Below are 20,066 nucleotides of genomic sequence, written 5' to 3' on the forward strand. Positions count from 1 at the left end.
GAGACGACCTTGCCGCCGGCGGGAACTCTGGGTCTCGCGGTTTGGGAGCGCTACTCGCCAGGTGGACTCGGAGTCCGCGAGCGTCGTCGGCAAGCGGCCGCCTTTCCACGGTAACCGCGCGCCGGCGGGGAGGGCGTGGCGCGGAGCCGACGGGAACGTCCGCGCTGCGGAGCAGGGCAGGGAAGCCGGGAGGCGGGCCCGGCCCGAGCTTGTCCTTGTCGCGCAGGTACTCCGAGCACTATGTCGTCCCCGGCGTCGACCCCGAGCCGCCGCGGCAGCCGGCGTGGAAGGGCCACCCCCGCCCAGACGCGTGAGTCCCCCGAGCCGGGCCCACTACAGCCCCCGGCGCCGCCCCGTCTGCCCTCTCGCCGCAGCTGGCAGCGCTGGGTGGGTGCGCGGGACCCGGGCGCTCAGCCTCGGGCTGGGCGCTGCCGCTTGGTGCGCACAGACACCCACAGCAGGCTGTGGCCTGGGTGCTGCTTAATTCGATTGCCATTTGCCTCTGTTTGGTTTGGTTCAGTGGTGAGTCATAATGCCCCAAGGAAAAGACAAATCCAGGAAGGCCGGCCCTGAAAGTTAATGGCTGTCTTTTCTGTTTTGTGTGACACAAGCTCGGAGTGAGGATGCCAGGTCATCTCCCTCTCAGAGACGTAGAGGCGAGGATTCCACCTCCACGGGGGAGTTGCAGCCGATGCCAACCTCGCCTGGAGTGGACCTGCAGAGCCCTGCTGCGCAGGACGTGCTGTTTTCCAGCCCTCCCCAAATGCATTCTTCAGGTGCGTGTCTGAAGATCTTGGTTTTGCTGTGCTTGATACACAGCTGATGCTTTATCTGCTCAGGTTTACTGGCTTTATAACAGTTGGCATAACGCCTAAAGCATCCCCTCTGCACGTGACTGAGCATGTTCTTAACCAGAGGAGCTGAACGGAGTGCAGAAAATAGTAGTTTTAGGGCTTAGTGAGCAGAGGAAGCAGCTTCTCTGGTGCTTTTTTTTAATAGAACATTTAAGAGTGCTCAGAATCTCAGCCACCGCAGGTTGCAATAAATATTCAGTTTGCTGTTGCGATTAGATGGTATAGATCAACAGACAACATGCTGTAATTTCAGGTTTGATATGCCACCAGAATTTCCTAATTTTGTTTTTATAGCTATCCCTCTTGACTTTGATGTTAGTTCACCACTGACATACGGCACTCCCAGCTCTCGGGTAGAGGGAACCCCAAGAAGTGGTGTTAGGGGCACACCTGTGAGACAGAGGCCTGACCTGGGCTCTGCACAGAAGGGCCTGCAAGTGGATCTGCAGTCTGACGGGGTGAGTATGCAGTCTCCTGAAACCATCTTATGGCGGGTATCATGTGGGTAACTCTGTTTTCATGATTCTGTCATGTTTTTCTGTGTAGGCAGCAGCAGAAGATATAGTGGCAAGTGAGCAGTCTCTAGGCCAAAAACTTGTGATCTGGGGAACAGATGTAAATGTGGCAGCATGCAAAGAAAACTTTCAGGTGAGCTACATGTATTAAAATTCTTACTTTGGGCTCTGAAAATGTTGGGAGACCGTGTTTATAATCTATATCTAAGTAGCCATAATGACTAGAAGGGCCACCTGTGGTGGCTCACACCTATAATCCCAGTACTTTGGGAGGCCAAGGTGGGAGGATCACTTGAGGCCAGGAGTTTGATAGCAGCCTGACCAATATAGTGAGACTCCATCTCCAAATTAAATTTTAGAAAAGAAAAAGGAAGAAAAATATTATTTATTTCTGTCTCCTGATAGTGACATACTCATAACTTTGTGTGTTTTTAGTAGTTGCCTGTTCCCAAATGCTATATGCCTAATACAGTTTTCTCTCCACTTAAAGAGATTTCTTCAGCGTTTTATTGACCCTCTGGCTAAAGAAGAAGAAAATGTTGGCATAGATATTACTGAACCTCTATACATGCAACGACTTGGGGAGGTAATCAAATACTCTTTAAATTCAAGTTACGTGTTTTAAAATAGTTAAATTAGCAAAATATAACTTGTTCATTTTTATTTTCTAGATTAATGTTATTGGTGAGCCATTTTTAAATGTGAACTGTGAACACATCAAATCATTTGACAAAAATTTGTACAGACAACTCATCTCTTACCCACAGGTAAGAATTTAGCTTTGACCTTGATGAATTTTAGTAACAGTCTAGAAAGAATGTTTCCAGATAACAGAAATTCTTCAGTAATGAAGATAGTATGCGCAAACACTTTAAGAAACTGAGTATCATCTCCTTTGGCCCGGTGTGGTGGCTCACACCTATAATCCCAGCACTTTAGGACGCCGAGGCAAATGGATCACTTGAGGTCGGAAGTTTGAGACCAGCCTGGGCAACAAAGTGAAACCCCATCTGTACTAAAAAATACAAAAATTAGCCAGACATGGTGGTGCATGCCTGTAGTCCCAGCTACTCGGGAGTCTGAAGCGATAGAATCACTTGAACCCCGGAGGCAGAGGTGCAGTGAGCCGAGATGGCACCACTGCTCTCCAGCCTGGGCAACAGTGAGATTCCATCTCAAACAAACAAAAAAAAACTATGTATCATCTCCTTTAAGATGAACATTTTTTTTTCACATTTTAATGTTCCTGAAAGTGGGACTTGTATTACTATCAATGACAGGTTATGGTTTACTTGGCAGTGTTTTTCATGTAGAAAAATGATGAATCTTAAAACTGATAGCTTCTTGGGTTTCATGAAGTAAGTTATCTTAAATGGAAATACTTTAAATGAATTACATACTTCCTGCTGCTTTGAAAGAATATATTGTACTGTAGACTTTTACTTCTAAGCCTCAGGTCAGTTTCTATTAATGAAGTATCAGCTCTGTTGACTCTGGGTGTAGTCTTTGGAGGCAAGCAGACTTGGTTTTTGAATCTTGGTTTTGCTGATTACTGGCTGCATAACCTTGGTCAAGTTCCTTAGCCAACCAAAAGCTGTTTCCTCATCTGTAAAATGGGAACCATATGTTAAGAAATTTGAATAAATATGATTTAACTTACTTTGGTATCGCCAGGCACGGTGGCTCATGCCTGTGATCCCAGCACTTTGGGAGGCCGAGGCAGGCAGATCACCTGAGGTTGGGAGTTCAAGACCAGCCTGACCAACGTGGAGAAACCCCGTCTCTATTAAAAATACAAAATTAGTCAGGCGTGGTGGCAAATGCCTGTAATCCCAGCTACTCGGGAGGCTGAGGCAGGAGAATTACTTGAATCCCAGAGGCAGAGGTTGCAGTGAGCCAAGATCATGCTGTTGCACTCCAGCCTGGGCAACAAGAGTGAAACTCTGCCTCAAAAATTAAAAATAAATAAATAAAAAACTTACTTTGGTATCACTTCATTATAGAAGGAAAATAAAGTGTGAGGTCAAAATCTTTTTCCCTTCTAATAGAAAGCAAAGAATATGCCAGTATACATCAAGAAGGCACTTTCGTATAAATTATGAAATTTAACCCAATTGAAAATATGCAGAAATAGATAGTTCAGCATACCTAAATTTGAAAACAGCACGTGCATGATTCTGTAGGGTAATACTTTGGGGACATGACATGTTGTCTTTTTATACTTTGCTAATCTGACATGCCTTTATTATATTTAACACTGAGATATGAATACAAATACATCTTCATATTTGTTTTTACAGGAAGTTATTCCAACTTTTGACATGGCTGTCAATGAAATCTTCTTTGACCGTTACCCTGACTCAATCTTAGAACATCAGATTCAAGTAAGACCATTCAACGCATTGAAGACTAAGAATATGAGAAACCTGAATCCAGAAGGTAATGTATTTTTCATAGGATTACTTTTGTTGAAGGAAAATGCCTTACATGAAAATAGCCTTGTTTTCATTGAGAAATTATGAAAGAAGTAATTGGCGGTGGTAGTCAAGGTGACGGATTATAAATTGACAATAATATAGATTCAGTTATCCTATATACTTATGAACCCCCTATACTTTTTAAATTTAATTGAAGTTTCTGATATAAGAGATGTGACTATTGGCCGGGCACAGTGGCTCACGCCTATAATCCCAGCACTTCAGGAGGCCGAGGCAGGCGGATCACCTGAGGTCAGGAGTTTGAGACCAGCCTGGCCAACATGGCAAAACTCCTTTACTAAAAATAGAAAAATTACCAGGGCATGGTGGCACACGCCTGTAGTCCCGGCTACTCTCGGGAGGCTGAGGCAGGAGAAACGCTTGAACCCGGGAGGCGGAGGTTGCACTGAGCAGAGGCTGTGCCATTGCACTCCAGCCTGGGTGACAGAATGAGACCCTGTCTCAAAAAAAAAAAAAAATTAGATTTTAAAGATTTGAGGATCACTTGAGGCCAGGAGTTTGAGACCAGCTTGAGTGACATAAGAGACTCCATCTCTTTTTAAGAAGAAATTAGCAAGGCACAGTGGCTCACACATGTAATCCTAGCACTCTGGGAGGCTGAGGTGACGGGCTTACTTGAGCCTGGCAGGTTGAGGCTTCAGTGAGCAGTGATTGCACCACTGTACTCCAGTCTGGGCAACAGGTTAAGACCCCATCTCAACAACAACAAAATTGTAGAGGTCTCATGAATCAGTGGCAGGATAGGGTGATCTTCACGGCTAGCAGTGGCTAAATACAGGCCAGAACAGGGTAGCTTGTCTGAAACCAGCAGGGGAAATTAGTTGCGGGCAGTGGGACCTTCAAAGGGAAAAAGTTGTCTGTCAGGAAAGGTTCAAATAATAGAGGAAACGAGCAAGAGTGAAAGATCAGAGCATCTAAGGGGTTCTCCTGTGTGGATAATAATGACTTTAAAGTATAGAGGACTTTTTCTCTACCAGGTGCTCTTACTAGGCTTGAAGTACATTGGCACGTTCAGTCCTTGGCTCTGGGATAGGTGCTGATACCACCCCATTCTATAGGGGACACAAAATGTACACAGAAAGGCTAGGGTCAGGACTCAGTCCAGGCTGTCTGGCTTTTTTCCTGACACAGCAGGGTGTCATACAGGAGGCCAGGTGAGTGAGGCAGGAGGCAGGGAGCAGGGTAGGCAGACAAGAAGGGAACGAGGGATGCCTGCTGGACAGGGGCCCTGAGGAAGAAGGGCCAGAGGTTCGCTGGGCTTGAGAGTCTCCTGAAGACATAGCCTGCAGATGACTGGACACAGAAAGGTCGCCCTAGGCAGAGTCTTGGGCACCTAGCTCCTGTCTGTGATCCCAGCTATTCCTGGACCTCCACACCTCAGGTCAGGTGTGCTGACCTCTCTTCTCCCCTCACAGACATTGACCAGCTCATCACCATCAGCGGCATGGTGATCAGGACATCCCAGCTGATTCCCGAGATGCAGGAGGCCTTCTTCCAGTGCCAAGTGTGTGCCCACACGACCCGGGTGGAGATGGACCGCGGCCGCATTGCAGAGCCCAGTGTGTGCGGGCGCTGCCACACCACCCACAGCATGGCACTCATCCACAACCGCTCCCTCTTCTCTGACAAGCAGATGGTGCGCAGCCACCCTGGCCCCCCAGGCTATGCTTTGCCTGTCTGTATCCTCAAAAGGCCAACTATAACTTGTCCCTCGGACCCTGAGCCTCACTTCCCGAATGGCATCCATCCCTCTCTGGTCTTGTGGGTTTCGTTAGTGGCCTATGGGCTAAATATGCAGAGCACGCAAAGCCCCTGCTTCAGGGCACTGTCCCTGTGCTGTTGCCAGTGGCACTGTCTGTTGTTAGAGACACTGTATTTTCATGGCCTAAAATGCTTCAAACGTTTGAGATGAGAATACTTGGTTAAATGTCATTCTGCTTTTTCCATTGGTAAAGGATTGAGGAATTTTTCTGAAATTTTTTCACAAATTTTACTGTCTAAGAAGTTTGGTCTTTTTTCTCTATATTCATGAAATTTTAAGATGAAGTTATTAAAATGACAGAAAAAAGTGAGGGGAAGGTAGAAAATTGCTTATTTACCGTGATTGTGACTGTAAAGATGTGGGAGGACAGGATTTGAGTTTTTCTGTGACTGCGTGTGCATGGTTTCTTTAATGTTGCATGGGATGGAGAGCTGGAGACAGAAAGGCAGGCACCCTGCTCCGCAGGAGCACATGGCCTCCTATTCTCAGAATCATGCAGGCCCCCAAAGTGGCTTAGAGAAAAGCCCAGCATCCTTAGGCCTCTCAGAGGGTACCTGGTTTGGAAAGGCCTTCCTCGACCCTGCTTTATGAAAAGCATCTCAGCTTCCCCCACCGCAGCTCCCTACATTCCTTCCCCTGTTTTGTTGCTGTCTGTTGCAGCAACTTCTTTAGAAGAAGTAATTTCTAAGGAAATAATGAGAAACATGGACAATCATTTATGTGGGGATATGCACTGCAGCCTTATATGGCAAAAGCAGTACAAAGACATGCAGATTTTGTCCCCCTGCCCTCTCTTTGTGGCCCACATGTTCTCTGTTTGCTGACCTTCAGATCAAGCTTCAGGAGTCTCCGGAAGACATGCCTGCAGGGCAGACACCACACACAGTTATCCTGTTTGCTCACAATGATCTCGTTGACAAGGTCCAGCCTGGGGACAGAGTGAATGTTACAGGTAAGAGTGTAGGTTTGCACCAGCACTTGAGCATGTCTGGCTTGCTTTCAATGCTGTGCTTTAGTGAGTCATTGGACTTGGTCACAGGTCCAGTTCTACCTCCAGTTGTCACTGCTTGTCTTTGAGACTGTGGGGTATATCCCTGCTTTATCTGCCACCTTTTTAACTGAGTACCATGGCCCAGCAGTATGAAATTGTTCAGTTCTTCCCAAACTTGAATGTTGGAGCTCATGGTTCGTGTGGTCACTCGCCTCTTGATACCTCAGTATCCTGGAGCTGTGTGTGTCTCAAGTCAGTACTGTTGGCATCATGAGAGAGCAGCCTCAGACAGGCTTGTATGGGTAAAGTTTTGAGTTATGCCATCAGCTCAGAGAAGTATTACTCACCAATGCTGGAGTTTTAAGTAATTTTTACTTAATTTCCCAAATGTATAGCCAAGGGTTAACATTTGTTTGTTACAGAGAAAAATGAGTCAGTGACTTGTTTCCATGTGTAGAAGCTGAGGTTCAGGGATGCATAGACAGCAGTAGCTCAGATGCCACGGTAAATCAGAACCCAGGACCCAGGTCTCCTTCTCTTGCTGCCACAAGAGTGCTCTTTGCACAGCACCATATGAGTGTGGCAGTCCTCCTTTTGATGCTGTAGAGTCACAATGGATTTTGGTTGGGGGCAAGGGAGTGTTGATGGCAGCACGGTTCTTCATTGATGGGCAAGGTGGCGACGGTCGCGGAGTGCCTGAATCTGCTCCTGAGCGGAGGGCCTGGGGCACACCACGCATCGGCTCTTGTCTTCAGTGAGGCAGTGCTCACCCTGTTTCTTCCCCAGTGTGAAGTCCCGCAGTTATCACTGGCAATCTTCCGTCGTAAAAGTACTTGAAGTCATGGAGAATTTGAAAGAATGCGTAGTTTTTAGTGAGTGACGTGCGCATTTCCAGTCCTGCTACCCTGAAACCTTTGATAAAGTATTTAGTCCAATATTTTTGTTTCCTCACCTACAAAGTGGAGTTAATGTGATGATACATGTGTGAGAGTGTTTGGGGCCAAGGGGCTGTGGAAAGTGCTGTGTAGATGTGAAATAAGTATCAATGCTGCTCTGTGAGATAAATCATTCCGGGCCACTTTAAACATAATCTTCCATCCCTAGCCTATATTGGAGTGAAGAATAGTGTGTATTCTAAGAATGTGTGTAAACTGGTTTGTTGTGTTAAACAAGAATTACACTGACCCACTGAATAAACAAGGACAGTGCTCTGTGCCATTGCGTTGAGATAGCTGTAACGGGGAAAGGCCAGGCTTTCTCCAAAAGCTGCAGGAATCAGCCTGGAGTTAAAGCCTTCTGGTTTGAAATCCAGAAAAGACGAACATCAGATCAGACCTCTGTATGTGAGGAGCCTGGCTTCCAGAAGAATGCATGATTTGCATGCTTTTGTCGGGGGTGGTGGGTAGGTTGGGGGGACCTAGTCTAGTTTTAATGACTGGAGGATTTTAGCATTTTGTTGCAGTCAAGTAAGTGCTAGGCAGATTCTGTACACTCAACTTAGGGAAGTAAAAATACTGCTTATTAAAAACAACCACGAACCCAGCATTGAGCTAGAAGCACAGCAGCTCCATTTCACCCTCAGGGTGACTGTGCCCGTGGGCATGCTCACGTAGCTACAGTTGCCCTGGAGCACTGCTGACTAGTGGGCCCAGGTGAACACGTCCTCGGGTCTATCATTTGCAGAAACCTGGGTTCTTTCTCTTTTGTTTTGTTTTGTTTTGTTTTGTTTCATTTTGTTTTGTTTTGTTTTTGAGACGGAGTTTTGCTCTCGTCACCCAGGCTGGAGTCCAATGGCACCATCTTGGCTCACCGCAACCTCCGCCTCCCAGGTTCAAGCCATTCTCCTGCCTCAGCCTCCCGAGTAGCTGGGATTACAGGCATGTGCCACCACGCCCGGCTAATTTTTGTATTTTTAGTAGAGACAGGGTTCTCCTTGTTGATTAGGGTGGTCTCGAACTCCCAACCTCAGGTGATCCGCCTGCCTCAGCCTCCCAAAGTGCTAGGATTACAGACATGAGCCACCTTGGTTCTTTCGAGCTTGTCCGTTTCCTGCTGCTATTTCCCTGCTTGCTCATAGCAAGCGGGAGCTTTGCAATGTGGGCCTGAGTCCTGGGCTTGGGAGGGTCATTTAAGAGACGGTGGAGCTCACCCTTTCCAGGGCCAGCCCGACGTGGTGCCTCGCTCTGAAGTGCACCTGTTGCCTACGCTGGTTGCTGAGCCACTCGGAGGAAGATATGGGAAGGTAAAAGTGCATCTCCTGGTTGTGCCCTCAGGCATCTATCGAGCTGTGCCTATTCGAGTCAATCCAAGAGTGAGTAATGTGAAGTCTGTCTACAAAACCCACATTGATGTCATTCATTATCGGAAAACGGATGCAAAACGTCTGCATGGCCTTGATGAAGAAGCAGAACAGAAACTTTTTTCAGAGAAACGTGTGGAATTGCTTAAGGAACTTTCCAGGAAACCAGACATTTATGAGAGGCTTGCTTCAGCCTTGGCTCCAAGCATTTATGAACATGAAGATATAAAGAAGGTAACAGTGGATTTTAAACTAGGGGTTGGGATTTACAATTCTTTGGGATCAAATAGTATAAACATCCACTCCGCCACTCGAGCCATCCGCCATAAAGGACAGAGTTGTGGCCTGTTAGAGCAAGTGCTGGCAACCTGACTTGCCATTGGTTGAGAAGAATCATAGCATTGTCTATCCTCATCTCTGGTCTAAACTTAGGTTTCTAAACAGAAGAGGCCACACAGTGTCAGAATAGGGACTTGCATGGCCACCATTCTGGTGTAATGATAGGTGCTGATGAACTGGTCAGTGATAACTTAAAGCATATCAAGCACTTTCACGAGCCTTTTTATACCTTCCTGTGATTTCTTAATTGTAGTTCTTTATAAGAGAGAAAAGTACCTCTAAAGTTTAAACTACATCTCAGTTAACTGTGCAGAAAATGAATGTTTAGACATGTCTCTGATTATTTAGGGAATTTTGCTTCAGCTCTTTGGCGGGACAAGGAAGGATTTTAGTCACACTGGAAGGGGCAAATTTCGGGCTGAGATCAACATCTTGCTGTGTGGCGACCCTGGTACCAGCAAGTCCCAGCTGCTGCAGTACGTGTACAACCTCGTCCCCAGGGGCCAGTACACGTCTGGGAAGGGCTCCAGTGCAGTTGGCCTCACTGCGTACGTAATGAAAGACCCTGAGACAAGGCAGCTGGTCCTGCAGACAGGTGCTCTTGTCCTGAGTGACAACGGCATCTGCTGTATCGATGAGTTCGACAAGATGAATGAAAGTACAAGATCGGTATTGCATGAAGTCATGGAACAGCAGACTCTGTCCATTGCAAAGGTGAGTCGCCTTCTCCACCGTGAACATGGACGTGTTTAAAATATGTGGACCCTTGAAAGACAGGGTCTGTGGAACTGTGCTGTGCTACCTTGGTTCTAACTTGGGGAGATTGATAAGTGCTTTCCACATCATATTTCAGCTAAATCTCAACATGTCTTCTACAGGGTGTCACGTTTTGTCTTTATTGCTGTACTAGCCTTGAATTTGTCCTAAAGCTCTTGCAAGGTGCCTGCTTCCTGAGAAAGATGTGGTTATAGCACACATTCATCTAAACTCAGTCCTTGGCATGAATCTGAGGACAGGGCTTATCCAGGTGAACTGCTGAAGTCAGTAAAGGCAACATGGCTCAGGCAATAGAAACTCAGTGGAGGGAATATGGGTTTAGTAGGTGGCCGGGCGAAGACGGTGCTTGTTAATTGCCAGCGTCAGGGAGAGGCTTCTAACTGCACTCTTTGCTCTGATAGGCTGGGATCATCTGTCAGCTCAATGCGCGCACCTCTGTCCTGGCAGCAGCAAATCCCATTGAGTCTCAGTGGAATCCTAAAAAAACAACCATTGAAAACATCCAGCTGCCTCATACTTTATTATCAAGGTATTAAAACAGATTTTTATTTTGTTCATTTGTAGAATATTCAGGGTGAGATTGAAAAGGAGCTACTAAGATTTCAGCAACTGCTAATGGAAACTCTTCACTCTTATCAAGATGTTTCAAATTTGGTTGGTCAAGAGTTTTCACGACAAGGATGATGTGTGTTCTCATTTGTTTTTTAAGCAGTTGGGATGTTTACCTCCCACGCCGTTTACACATGGCTGTCACTCACTACTCTTAGTCCTAAAGCCACTGCTGAGAGTCAACAGAGAACAATTCCGTACAGTAGATGAGGCTCTGAAAAGTTAGATTTATTAAAGTGCAATCACATAATCTTCACTCTTGGCCCCACTACAAATATTGGACATTTTTCATAAATGGATTTTAGGTTTTAATTACTTGCTTTTTTTTCTTTTTTTTTGACAGAAGTTTTTTTTCCCAAAAAAACAGTTGAATGTGTTTTCATTCAAATCTTTCCATTGTCAGCCAGGTACAGTGACTCACACCTGTAATTCCAGCACTTTGGGAGGCTGAGGTGGGTGGATCGCCTGAGCTCAGGAGTTTGAGGCCACCCTGGGCAACTTGATGAAACCCCATCTCTACTAAAATACAAAAAATTAGCCCGGCGTGGCGGCGCATGCCTGTAATCCCAGCTACTCGGGAGGCTGAGGAGGCACAAGAATTGCTTGAGCCTGGGGGAGTGGAGATTGCAGTGAGCTGAGATCATACCACTTCACTCTAGCTTGGGCTACAGAGTGAGACTCTGTCTCAAAAAAAAAAAAAAAAAAAAAACTTTCCATCGTCAAAATTATAGTAACGTTTCCCTAAGGGAAGACTTCCTTTGACTCAGCTGATTGGTCCCCAGCCGTTCCCTGGGCCGACCTAAGGACTAGGGACAGCACAGGGTGAGTGGGGTGAGTGGATGGACACGAAGGCCCTTTCCACACCAGGCAAAGATGCTTCTCCCTGATGGCGCTCACAGGGTGCACATTGACTGCACATCTGTGGTGCTCAAGCAGTCTTTAGTACGTCGTTTGTAGGTGTATTGGTGTCTCAACTAGGAAAACAGTTTTTTTGTTGTTGTTTTGGGTTTTTTTGTTTGTTTTTTTGAGACAGAGTCTCCCTCTGTCGGCCAGGCTGGAGTGCAGTGACGCGAACTTGGCTCACCGCAACCTTCGCCTTCCAGGTTCAAGCGATTCTCCTGCTTCAGCCTCCCAAGTAGCTGGGATTACAGGCAGGCACCACCACTCCTGGCTAATTGTTGCATTTTTAGTAGAGACAAGGTTTCACCGTGTTGGCCAGGCTGGTCTCAAACTACCAACCTCAGGTGATCCACCTGCCTCGGCCTCACAAGGTGCTGGAAAAACAGTATTTTTACTTTGTTTTCTTAGGTTTGATTTGATCTTCCTCTTGCTGGACCCTCAGGACGAAGCCTATGACAGGCGTCTGGCTCACCACCTGGTCGCACTGTACTACCAGAGCGAGGAGCAGGCAGAGGAGGAGCTCCTGGACATGGCGGTGCTAAAGGACTACATTGCCTACGCGCACAGCACCATCATGCCGCGGCTAAGTGAGGAAGCCAGCCAGGCTCTCATCGAGGTAACCCTGCTGAAAAAAGGCTTACTGTGCCTGTAGCCCACAGCATTAATGTAACTGACCAATCATCTCCTTTAAAATATTAATTATTTTGTTACGAATAACATACTGTTCTCTTCCTTGTTTTGAGACAGAGCCTGGCTCTCTTGCCCAGGCTGGAGTGCAGTGGCTTGATCTCGGCTTACTGCAGCCTGTGGCCTGTGCTTCTGGGTTCAAGCGATTCTCCTGCTTCAGCCTCCCTATTAGCTGGGATTACAGGTGCCCACAACCACTCCGGCTAATTTTTGTATTTTTAGTAGAGACAGAGTTTCACCGTGTTGGCCAGGCTGGTCTTGAAATCCTGACCTCAAGTGATGCGCCAGCCTCTGCCTCCCAAAGTGTTAGGATTGCAGGCGCAAGCCACCATGCTGGGCCTAAGAATAATAAACTTTTCTTTTTTTTTTTTTTGTGAGACGGAGTCTCGCTGTGTCCCCCAGGCTGGACTGCAGTGGCGCGATCTCGGCTCACTGCAAGCTCCACCTCCCGGATTCACGCCATTCTCCTGCCTCAGCCTCCTGAGTAGCTGGGATTACAGGCACCCACCACCACGCCTGGCTAATTTTTTGTATTTTTAGTAGAGACGGGGTTTCACTGTGTTAGGATGGTCTCGATCTCCTGACCTCGTGATCCGCCTGCCTCGGCCTCCCAAAGTGCTGGGATTACAGGCGTGAGCCACCGCGCCTAGCAATATACTATTTTTTATAACTGTTTATTACTTCCTCCCATATTGCAAAATTGATCTTTCCAAATGTTGCAAAAGGGGGAAATAGTTCATTTATGTAGGTAGTACACACACTTTATATGTTTAAGTACTTACAAGCATAGTGAATTTAAGATCAAAGACCTGGTTTCAAATAGAGGCAACACTACACAGTAATTTGGAAACTGAAAAAGTCATCCAGTTTCTGTAAGCTTCCTTTTGCTTGTAAAAAACAGAATGAGCTGTCTTTTAGGTTCACTTTTCAGCATCCTGGTACATGAGCTGAAGTGCATGATGGCACATTTAGGTTATTCAAGCATTGTGATATTAAGAAGGTTCCTGGTGCTTTGATGAGCTTTGCATCCTAACTGAGCTCCTAAAAATTCTAAGATGAAAGTTACAGACATTATGTAATTTTTTTGTGTGTCATAGTCTTGGGGGTTGTTAATGAAGAAATAAGACTGTGTCATCTGTATGTGAAATTGATACAACTTACCTTTGCAGCATTCTCCCAGCAATCCTTATGAGCCCCATTGTGCCCCATGTGAGCACTTTTCCCAGACAGGCCTGATTCTCCCTATGAGTGCTCACAGCCTTCTCCTCTCCCCACATGCCACATTCCTTCCCTCTGCCACGCCATGCCCGTCTCTGTTCTTCAGAGCTACGTTAGATGCCACCCTCTCCAAGAATTCTTCCCAAGCATCTCCCAGTTGGAATATGTTCACCCACCACTGCACGCTGCACGTTGATGTCTTCACCTGCGATTTCTGTGGTCTGTCTGTGTAGTCTCTACCACTTGATGAGCTCCGGGGCCCAGGACCATATCTGAGTTCCGTTTACTTAATGGAAGCCTAAGTGTTCAAAATTCACCCACAAAACTAAAGTTGTCACCAAGGAGGTTTGCTTTTGCTTTTGTTTTTCTACCTACAATAGGCTTATGTAGACATGAGGAAGATTGGCAGTAGCCGGGGAATGGTTTCTGCATACCCTCGACAGCTAGAGTCATTAATCCGCTTAGCAGAAGCCCATGCTAAAGTAAGATTGTCTAACAAAGTTGAAGCCATTGATGTGGAAGAGGCCAAACGCCTCCATCGGGAAGCTCTGAAGCAGTCTGCAACTGATCCCCGGACTGGCATCGTGGACATATCTATTCTTACTACGGGTTCGTTATTTTCAGTGAACAGAAAAGCTTTTGAAAATTATTTCAATATGCATGTAGTTTATATGTCAGATTTAAGCTAACAGTTAAATCATTTGAAACAGAAGTTCTTAACCTTTTTTGGATTAGGACCCCTTTGAGAATCTGATGAAAGTTGCCCTTTAATCTTATCTTGATAAAAATATTGATTAACACACACAGTTTTGTGTATAGTTTTTTTTTGTTTTTTTTTTTTATACTTTAAGTTTTAGGGTACATGTGCACAACGTGCAGTTTAGTTACATATGTACGCATGTGCCATGTTGGTGTGCTGTACCCAGTAACTCGTCATTTAACATTACGTGTATCTCCAAATGCTATCCCTCCCCCCTCCCCCCACCCCACAACAGGCCCTGGTGTGTGATGTTCCCCTTCCTGTGTCCGTGTGTTCTCATTGTTCAATTCCAGTTTTGTGTATAGTTTTAAGGAGATTCTGTCTCCTTGACTGTCTGGGAAGTTTTGTTAACCCATTTTAGAGAAGTTGTTTGTTTCTTAGCAGCAGCTGCTTGCTGCACAGATGTGTAGACTGTTAAGGAAAGCAGCAGCTAGTGGCTTACAGAAATTTCCAAATAATTAAAAACTCATTCCCTTCAAATGTACTCAGCCCCTGTCGCCTTATCTTTCTAGGTGATACTACTAAAGGAATATTTTTGAGAATTTGAAGCATTTCATTTCATAATAGCAAAAATGTTTTCATTGATTTCTTTTTAAATCAGGGATGAGTGCCACCTCTCGTAAACGGAAAGAAGAATTAGCTGAAGCATTGAAAAAGCTTATTTTATCTAAGGGCAAAACACCAGCTCTAAAATACCAGCAACTTTTTGAAGATATTCGGGGACAATCTGACATAGTAAGTGTTTATATGTATTTTTTGTTTGATAGAGCTTTCTCTTTTTCCTTAATATTGCTTTTGGGTTTTTTTCCTTTATTTATTAAATAATAAATATAGAGAAGAATGAAGAAAAGGAAGATGAACCATAAGCCATCATCAAGAAATAATCACAATTAAAATTTTTGGCTGGGTGCAGTAGCTCACGCCTGTAATCTCATTTGGGACGCTGAGGTGGGCAGATCACTTGCAGCCAGGAGTTTGAAACCAGCCTGACCAATATGGTGAAACCCTGTCTCTATTAAAAATACAAAAATTAGCTGGATGTGGTGATAAGCACCTGAAATCCTAGCTACTCAGGAGGCTTAGGCAGGAGAATTGCTTGAACCTGGGAGGCGGAGGTTGCAGTAAGCTGAGATCCCACCATTGCTCTCCAGCCTGGGCACCAGAGCGGAACTCCATCTCAAAAAAAAAAAAAAAGAAAAAATTGTTATGCCCCTTTCATAGTTGTTATAAGTTTGCTTTAGGTATGAAATATTTGGGTGTCCTTTTGTAAATAAGTAAGGTAGTTGTTTAGTGAAAAGAACTATGCAGTCTTTCAGTGCTGGTCCACTTTCCATCGCTGTGTTGTGACTGAGAGGGCAGAGTTGATAGTTACAACGTGGACTATACAGATGCCAAGTCTACCACATGGACCATCTGGCTACTCCACTCCTGATTTAGAGCATAAGGCATGTGTACAGCCACCAAAAAGAGAAAGATTCTGGGTGGTACTTTAACATTATAATTATTGTGTTTCTAACAGGTAAAGGAGGGACTTGACGTGTACAATATTTATTTTCTTTCTCTTCCCCACAGGCAATTACTAAAGATATGTTTGAAGAAGCACTGCGTGCCCTGGCAGATGATGATTTCCTGACAGTGACTGGGAAGACCGTGCGCTTGCTCTGAAGCCTTGTGAGCAAGGAAGGCTCCCTGCATGTCCTGCTTGCTGCACGCCACATGGGTGTGGTCTGCATCTCAGTTGGCCGCCATCAGTGTAAATAGAGCTTAAAGTCATGGTTTGGCTGCATAAAAATTTTCTAACTTGGGTTCAATATTTGTAGTGAAGTATCTGTTTTCATTTTTTTCACGTTATAAATAAAAATACTATGCTGGCCGGGCGCGGTGGCTCACACCTGTAATCCCAGCACTTTGGGAGGCCAATGTGGGTGGATCATGAGGTCAGGAGTTCAAGACCAGCCTAGCCAAGATGGTGAAACCCCGTCTCTAGTAAAGATAACAAAAAATTAGCTGGGCTTGATGGCATGCGCCTGTAATCCCAGCTACTCGGGAGGTTGAGGCAGGAGAATCGCTTAAACCCAGGCGGCAGAGGTTGCAGTGAGCCAAGATCGCGCCACTGCACTCCAGCCTCAGCAATAGAGTGAGACTGTCTCAAAAAAAAAAAAAAAAAAAAAACCTGCCAATTTTCAAACATACCGTAGAGATTATTTTCAGGTGCCATTTTATAGTATAGCAGCAGGGCTTTTACTCTGTGTATGCACAGATGCAGTCTGGGGCATGGTTTGTGTGCTGGACTTTCTCATGGCCATCATCAGTATGCTTATGGATTTGATGACAGGCATAGCCTGGGCATATCACCTCATTGGTAAAGGGCTAGAGCCTTTCTTTTTTATGGCACTTCTTTTTTTGAGATAGGGTCTTACTCTGTCACCCTGGCTAGAGTACACTGGTACAATCACGGCTCAATGTAGGCTTAACCTCCTGGGCTCAGGTGTATGTCACTATGCCCGGCTACTTTTTGTATTTTTTGGTAGAGACGGCTTCGCCACGTTGCCCAGGCTGCAAGCGATATGCCTAGGCTCAAGCGATCTGCCCACCTCAACTTCCGGAAGTGCTGAGATTACAGGTGTGAGCCACTGCACCCAGCCTTTGTTTTATTTTTTATTTTTTGAGAGGTATGATTCTTTCTAGAGATTTTTTCTCATGGCTACTATTAGATCAGGAATGGGTGATTGGAGATTATTAGATTCTAGGTTAACTTCTACCACTTTACCCTAATACATAAAACTTTTTCCTAAATAAATGATGGAAGGAATAATACTTGGTTACCTGGCATTATTTTTCAGTAAGAAAAAAGCTTTACTAACCACTACATTTATGGAAATTTGTAGGGGTAAGTATTTTATAGGTCATAAAAAACACCATAATATAACGAATCTCATTTTCTTTAAATGTGAATTAAATCCTAACAGTCATCTTTATAAAATGACCATAGGCTAAAATCTTACGTGTAAGTACTACTACAATAAATAATTTCTGAAACCTTTAAATCATATGAGTTGGGCCTTTTTTATAACTTGGAATCAACATTTTTTAATAAAGTATCCATAGAAAATGATAGATCTGGCCGGGCGCGGTGGCTCACACCTGTAATCCCAGCACTTTGGGAGGCCGAGATGGCTGGATCATGAGGTCAGGAGATCGAGACCATCCTGGCTAACACTGTGAAACCCCGTCTCTACTAAAAATACAAAAAAAATTAGCCGGGCCTGGTGGCGGGCACCTGTAGTCCCAGCTACTCTGGAGGCTGAGGCAGGAGAATGACATGAACCTAGGAGGCGGAGCTTGCAGTGAGCCGAGATCATGCCACTGCACTCCAGGCTGGGCAACAGAGTGAGACTCCATCTCAAAAAAAGAAAAAAAAAAAGATCTAATTGAATATTTAAATAGCATTAAAATGTTAGCAGTAGAATGCTGTATTAAATATCCTAAGTCGAAAATGTTTTTAATACACCTAATCTACCAAACATACCTTAGCCTAGCCTACCTTAAAAAGGCTGAGCATACTTAAATCAGCCTATGGTTGAGTAAAATAGTGCAAAACAAAGCCTATTTTACAATAAAGTGTTACGGTTGGGTGCAGTGGCTCACGCCTGTAATCCCAACACTTTGGGAGGCCAAGGCAGGTGGATCCTGAAGTGAGGAGTTCAAGACCAGTCTGGCCAACATGGCCAAACCCTGTCTCTACTAAAAATAAAAAAAAAATTAGCTCAGTGTGGTGGTGAGTGCCTATAATCTCAGCTACTCAGGAGGCTGAGGCAGGAGAATTGCTTGAACCCCGGAGGTGGAGGTTACAGTGAGCGGAAATCATGCCACTGCACTCCAGCCTGGCGATGGTGTGATACTGTCTCAAATAAAGTGTTAAATGTCTTGTGTACCACATTGGTAACACAAGAAAAGGTCAGTCAAAATTCAAAATTTGAAGAACATTGAAATTGTAACAGCTTTATACCATGTAAAGTTGAAAAATCATAAGTCGAACAATAATTAAATAATCTGTACTTATTGACTAAGATGATTTCCCCCTGAAGTTTATGTACTAGTAATATTTTTCTAAACCTAGTATTTGAATACCAAGTTGAAGGTATATTCAACTGTAGATGAAGTGTGTGTATAGTTTCATTTTAAGGGGATTTTAGTAGAATGAAAATAATGGGGTTGTCCTGTTGCTGTCAGGTTCCATCATAGTGAATCTCAGTTTAATTCAGTAAACTTTGTTTTCTCCAGAGTCTAAAATAATTCAGTGCTTGCTTCAGCCACACATATGTGAGAATTGGAATGATACACAAAAGATTATCATGGCCCCTGCACAAAGTTTGACACACAAATCCATGAAGCATTCTATACTTTCAATAAAAACTAAAATTTGGCCAGGCACAATGGCTCACGCCTATAATCCCAACACTTTGGGATGCCGAGGCAGGCGGATCAAGAGGTCAGGAGTTCGAGACCAGCCTGACCAACATGGTGAGACTCCATCTCTACTAAAAATACAGAAATTAGCTGGGCATGGTGGCAGGTGCCTGTAATCCCAGCTACTCAGGAGGCTGAATCACTTGAACCCAGGAGGCGGAGGTTGCAGTGAGACGAGATCATGCCCTTGCACTCGCCTGGGTGACAGAGTGAGACTCCATCTCAAAAGAAAAAAAAAATTGTAGTTATTTAGCAAACTTGTTTATGTCTGTAACCTGCCTACTGGTCATAAGTTTCTTGAGAGAAGGAATGGTCGTATCCTTCAGTGCAGTACCTGGTGCTTGGCGCTAGATGCTTGTTACATGTTAGTAGAGATAACTCCTATGAAAGGAGGGTGAAGGTGTAAAAGTCAGAAGGCATTCTTGAAAACAGCGAAGTATTAGGCTGTAGAGTGGAGGAATAAGAGGAATTACAGTCCTGCCCCATAAATTCTTATAAGTATTCCCTTAGAGGGTATGCCTCATAATCTCATGGAACCCAGGAGATATCTAGTATTGCTAATTAAAACGACTTGCTTTATTTGATTGGAGAATGCATGTGCCATTCTCCTTCAGCATCCATCATAGATAAAACCAACTCCATCTAAAGGAGTACACAACTAATAAGAGGAATGAGGAAACCCAGAATTTAATGACTCAGCACATCAGTTAGGAAATACTTTTAAAAACTGCTGTTGCTTACTAAATCTAAGAAACTCTTAAAATTCTTCTGTAATTCAGTTTTTTAAACTATTATTTTGAACTAATTTCATGACCAGGCACTGTGGCTCACACCTGTAATCCCAGCACTTTGGGAGGCTGAGGCGGATGGATCACCCGAGGTCAGGAGTTCAAGACCAGCCTGGCTGACATAGTGAAACCCCGTCTCTACTAAAAATACAAAAAAAAAATTAGCCGGGCATGGTAGTGCGTGCCTGTAGTCCCAGCTATTCAGGAGGCTGAGGCAGTAGAATCGCTTGAACCCGGGAGGCAGAGGTTGTGGTGAGCCAAGATCATACCACTGCATCCCAGCCTGGGCAACAGAGCAAGACTCCCATCTCAAAAAAAAAAAAAAATAGAAATAATTTCAAACTTACACAAAAGTTGCAAGAACAGTATAGTTTCCATATACCCTTCACTCTGACATTCCTTTAATGATATTATTTTATCAAGTTTGCTTTTTTGTTTTGTTTTGTTTTGTTTTGTTTTGTTTTTTTGAAACAGAGCCTGTCTCTGTCACCCAGGCTGCAGTGCAGTGGTGCGATCTCAGCTCACTGCAACCCCCACCTCCCGGGTTCAAGCGATTCTCCTGCCTCAGCCTCCCTAGTAGCTGGGATTACAGGCGCCCA

At 44.8% G+C, this 20,066-nt stretch overlaps 1 protein-coding gene and 1 pseudogene across 2 annotated transcripts, besides 2 other annotated features; both read left to right on the forward strand.

Moving 5' to 3' along the window:
- On the forward strand, positions 37-17,256 carry MCM4 (minichromosome maintenance complex component 4). 2 transcript variants are annotated; one of them, NM_182746.3, is made up of 17 exons: positions 37-110; positions 227-310; positions 612-776; positions 1,149-1,312; positions 1,401-1,502; positions 1,860-1,955; positions 2,041-2,136; positions 3,670-3,808; positions 5,283-5,503; positions 6,461-6,581; positions 8,894-9,153; positions 9,607-9,972; positions 10,437-10,564; positions 11,953-12,160; positions 13,830-14,058; positions 14,811-14,944; positions 15,782-17,256. In NM_182746.3, exons 2-17 carry the CDS (start codon positions 241-243, stop codon positions 15,872-15,874), a joined length of 2,592 nt encoding a protein of 863 aa, NP_877423.1. In that variant the 5' UTR covers positions 37-110; positions 227-240; the 3' UTR covers positions 15,875-17,256. The 2 variants fall into 2 exon arrangements, with proteins under 2 accessions (NP_877423.1, NP_005905.2); NM_005914.4 differs by having other exon boundaries at positions 37-310.
- Positions 71-470: a silencer, noted in NCBI's record as "silent region_19178". NCBI's record gives its function as "represses an Ori minimal core promoter by ATAC-STARR-seq in GM12878 lymphoblastoid cells {active_cell/tissue: GM12878}" and the evidence as "EXISTENCE:reporter gene assay evidence [ECO:0000049][PMID:35858748]".
- Positions 13,081-13,220: a silencer, noted in NCBI's record as "silent region_19179". NCBI's record gives its function as "represses an Ori minimal core promoter by ATAC-STARR-seq in GM12878 lymphoblastoid cells {active_cell/tissue: GM12878}" and the evidence as "EXISTENCE:reporter gene assay evidence [ECO:0000049][PMID:35858748]".
- RNU6-519P (RNA, U6 small nuclear 519, pseudogene) lies at positions 18,510-18,617 on the forward strand (annotated as a pseudogene).

The sequence above is a fragment of the Homo sapiens genome, chromosome 8, assembly GCF_000001405.40.
Source record: "Homo sapiens chromosome 8, GRCh38.p14 Primary Assembly".
Taxonomy (NCBI): domain Eukaryota; kingdom Metazoa; phylum Chordata; class Mammalia; order Primates; family Hominidae; genus Homo; species Homo sapiens.

Bases quoted from the DNA above. Each gene is read 5' to 3' on its own strand.
- MCM4 (NM_005914.4), top strand. From the start codon at position 241: ATGTCGTCCCCGGCGTCGACCCCGAGCCGCCGCGGCAGCCGGCGTGGA. The intron at 9,973-10,436 runs GTGAGTCGCCTT...TTGCTCTGATAG, and splicing joins AGACTCTGTCCATTGCAAAG to GCTGGGATCATCTGTCAGCT. The intron at 12,161-13,829 runs GTAACCCTGCTG...TACCTACAATAG, and splicing joins CCAGCCAGGCTCTCATCGAG to GCTTATGTAGACATGAGGAA.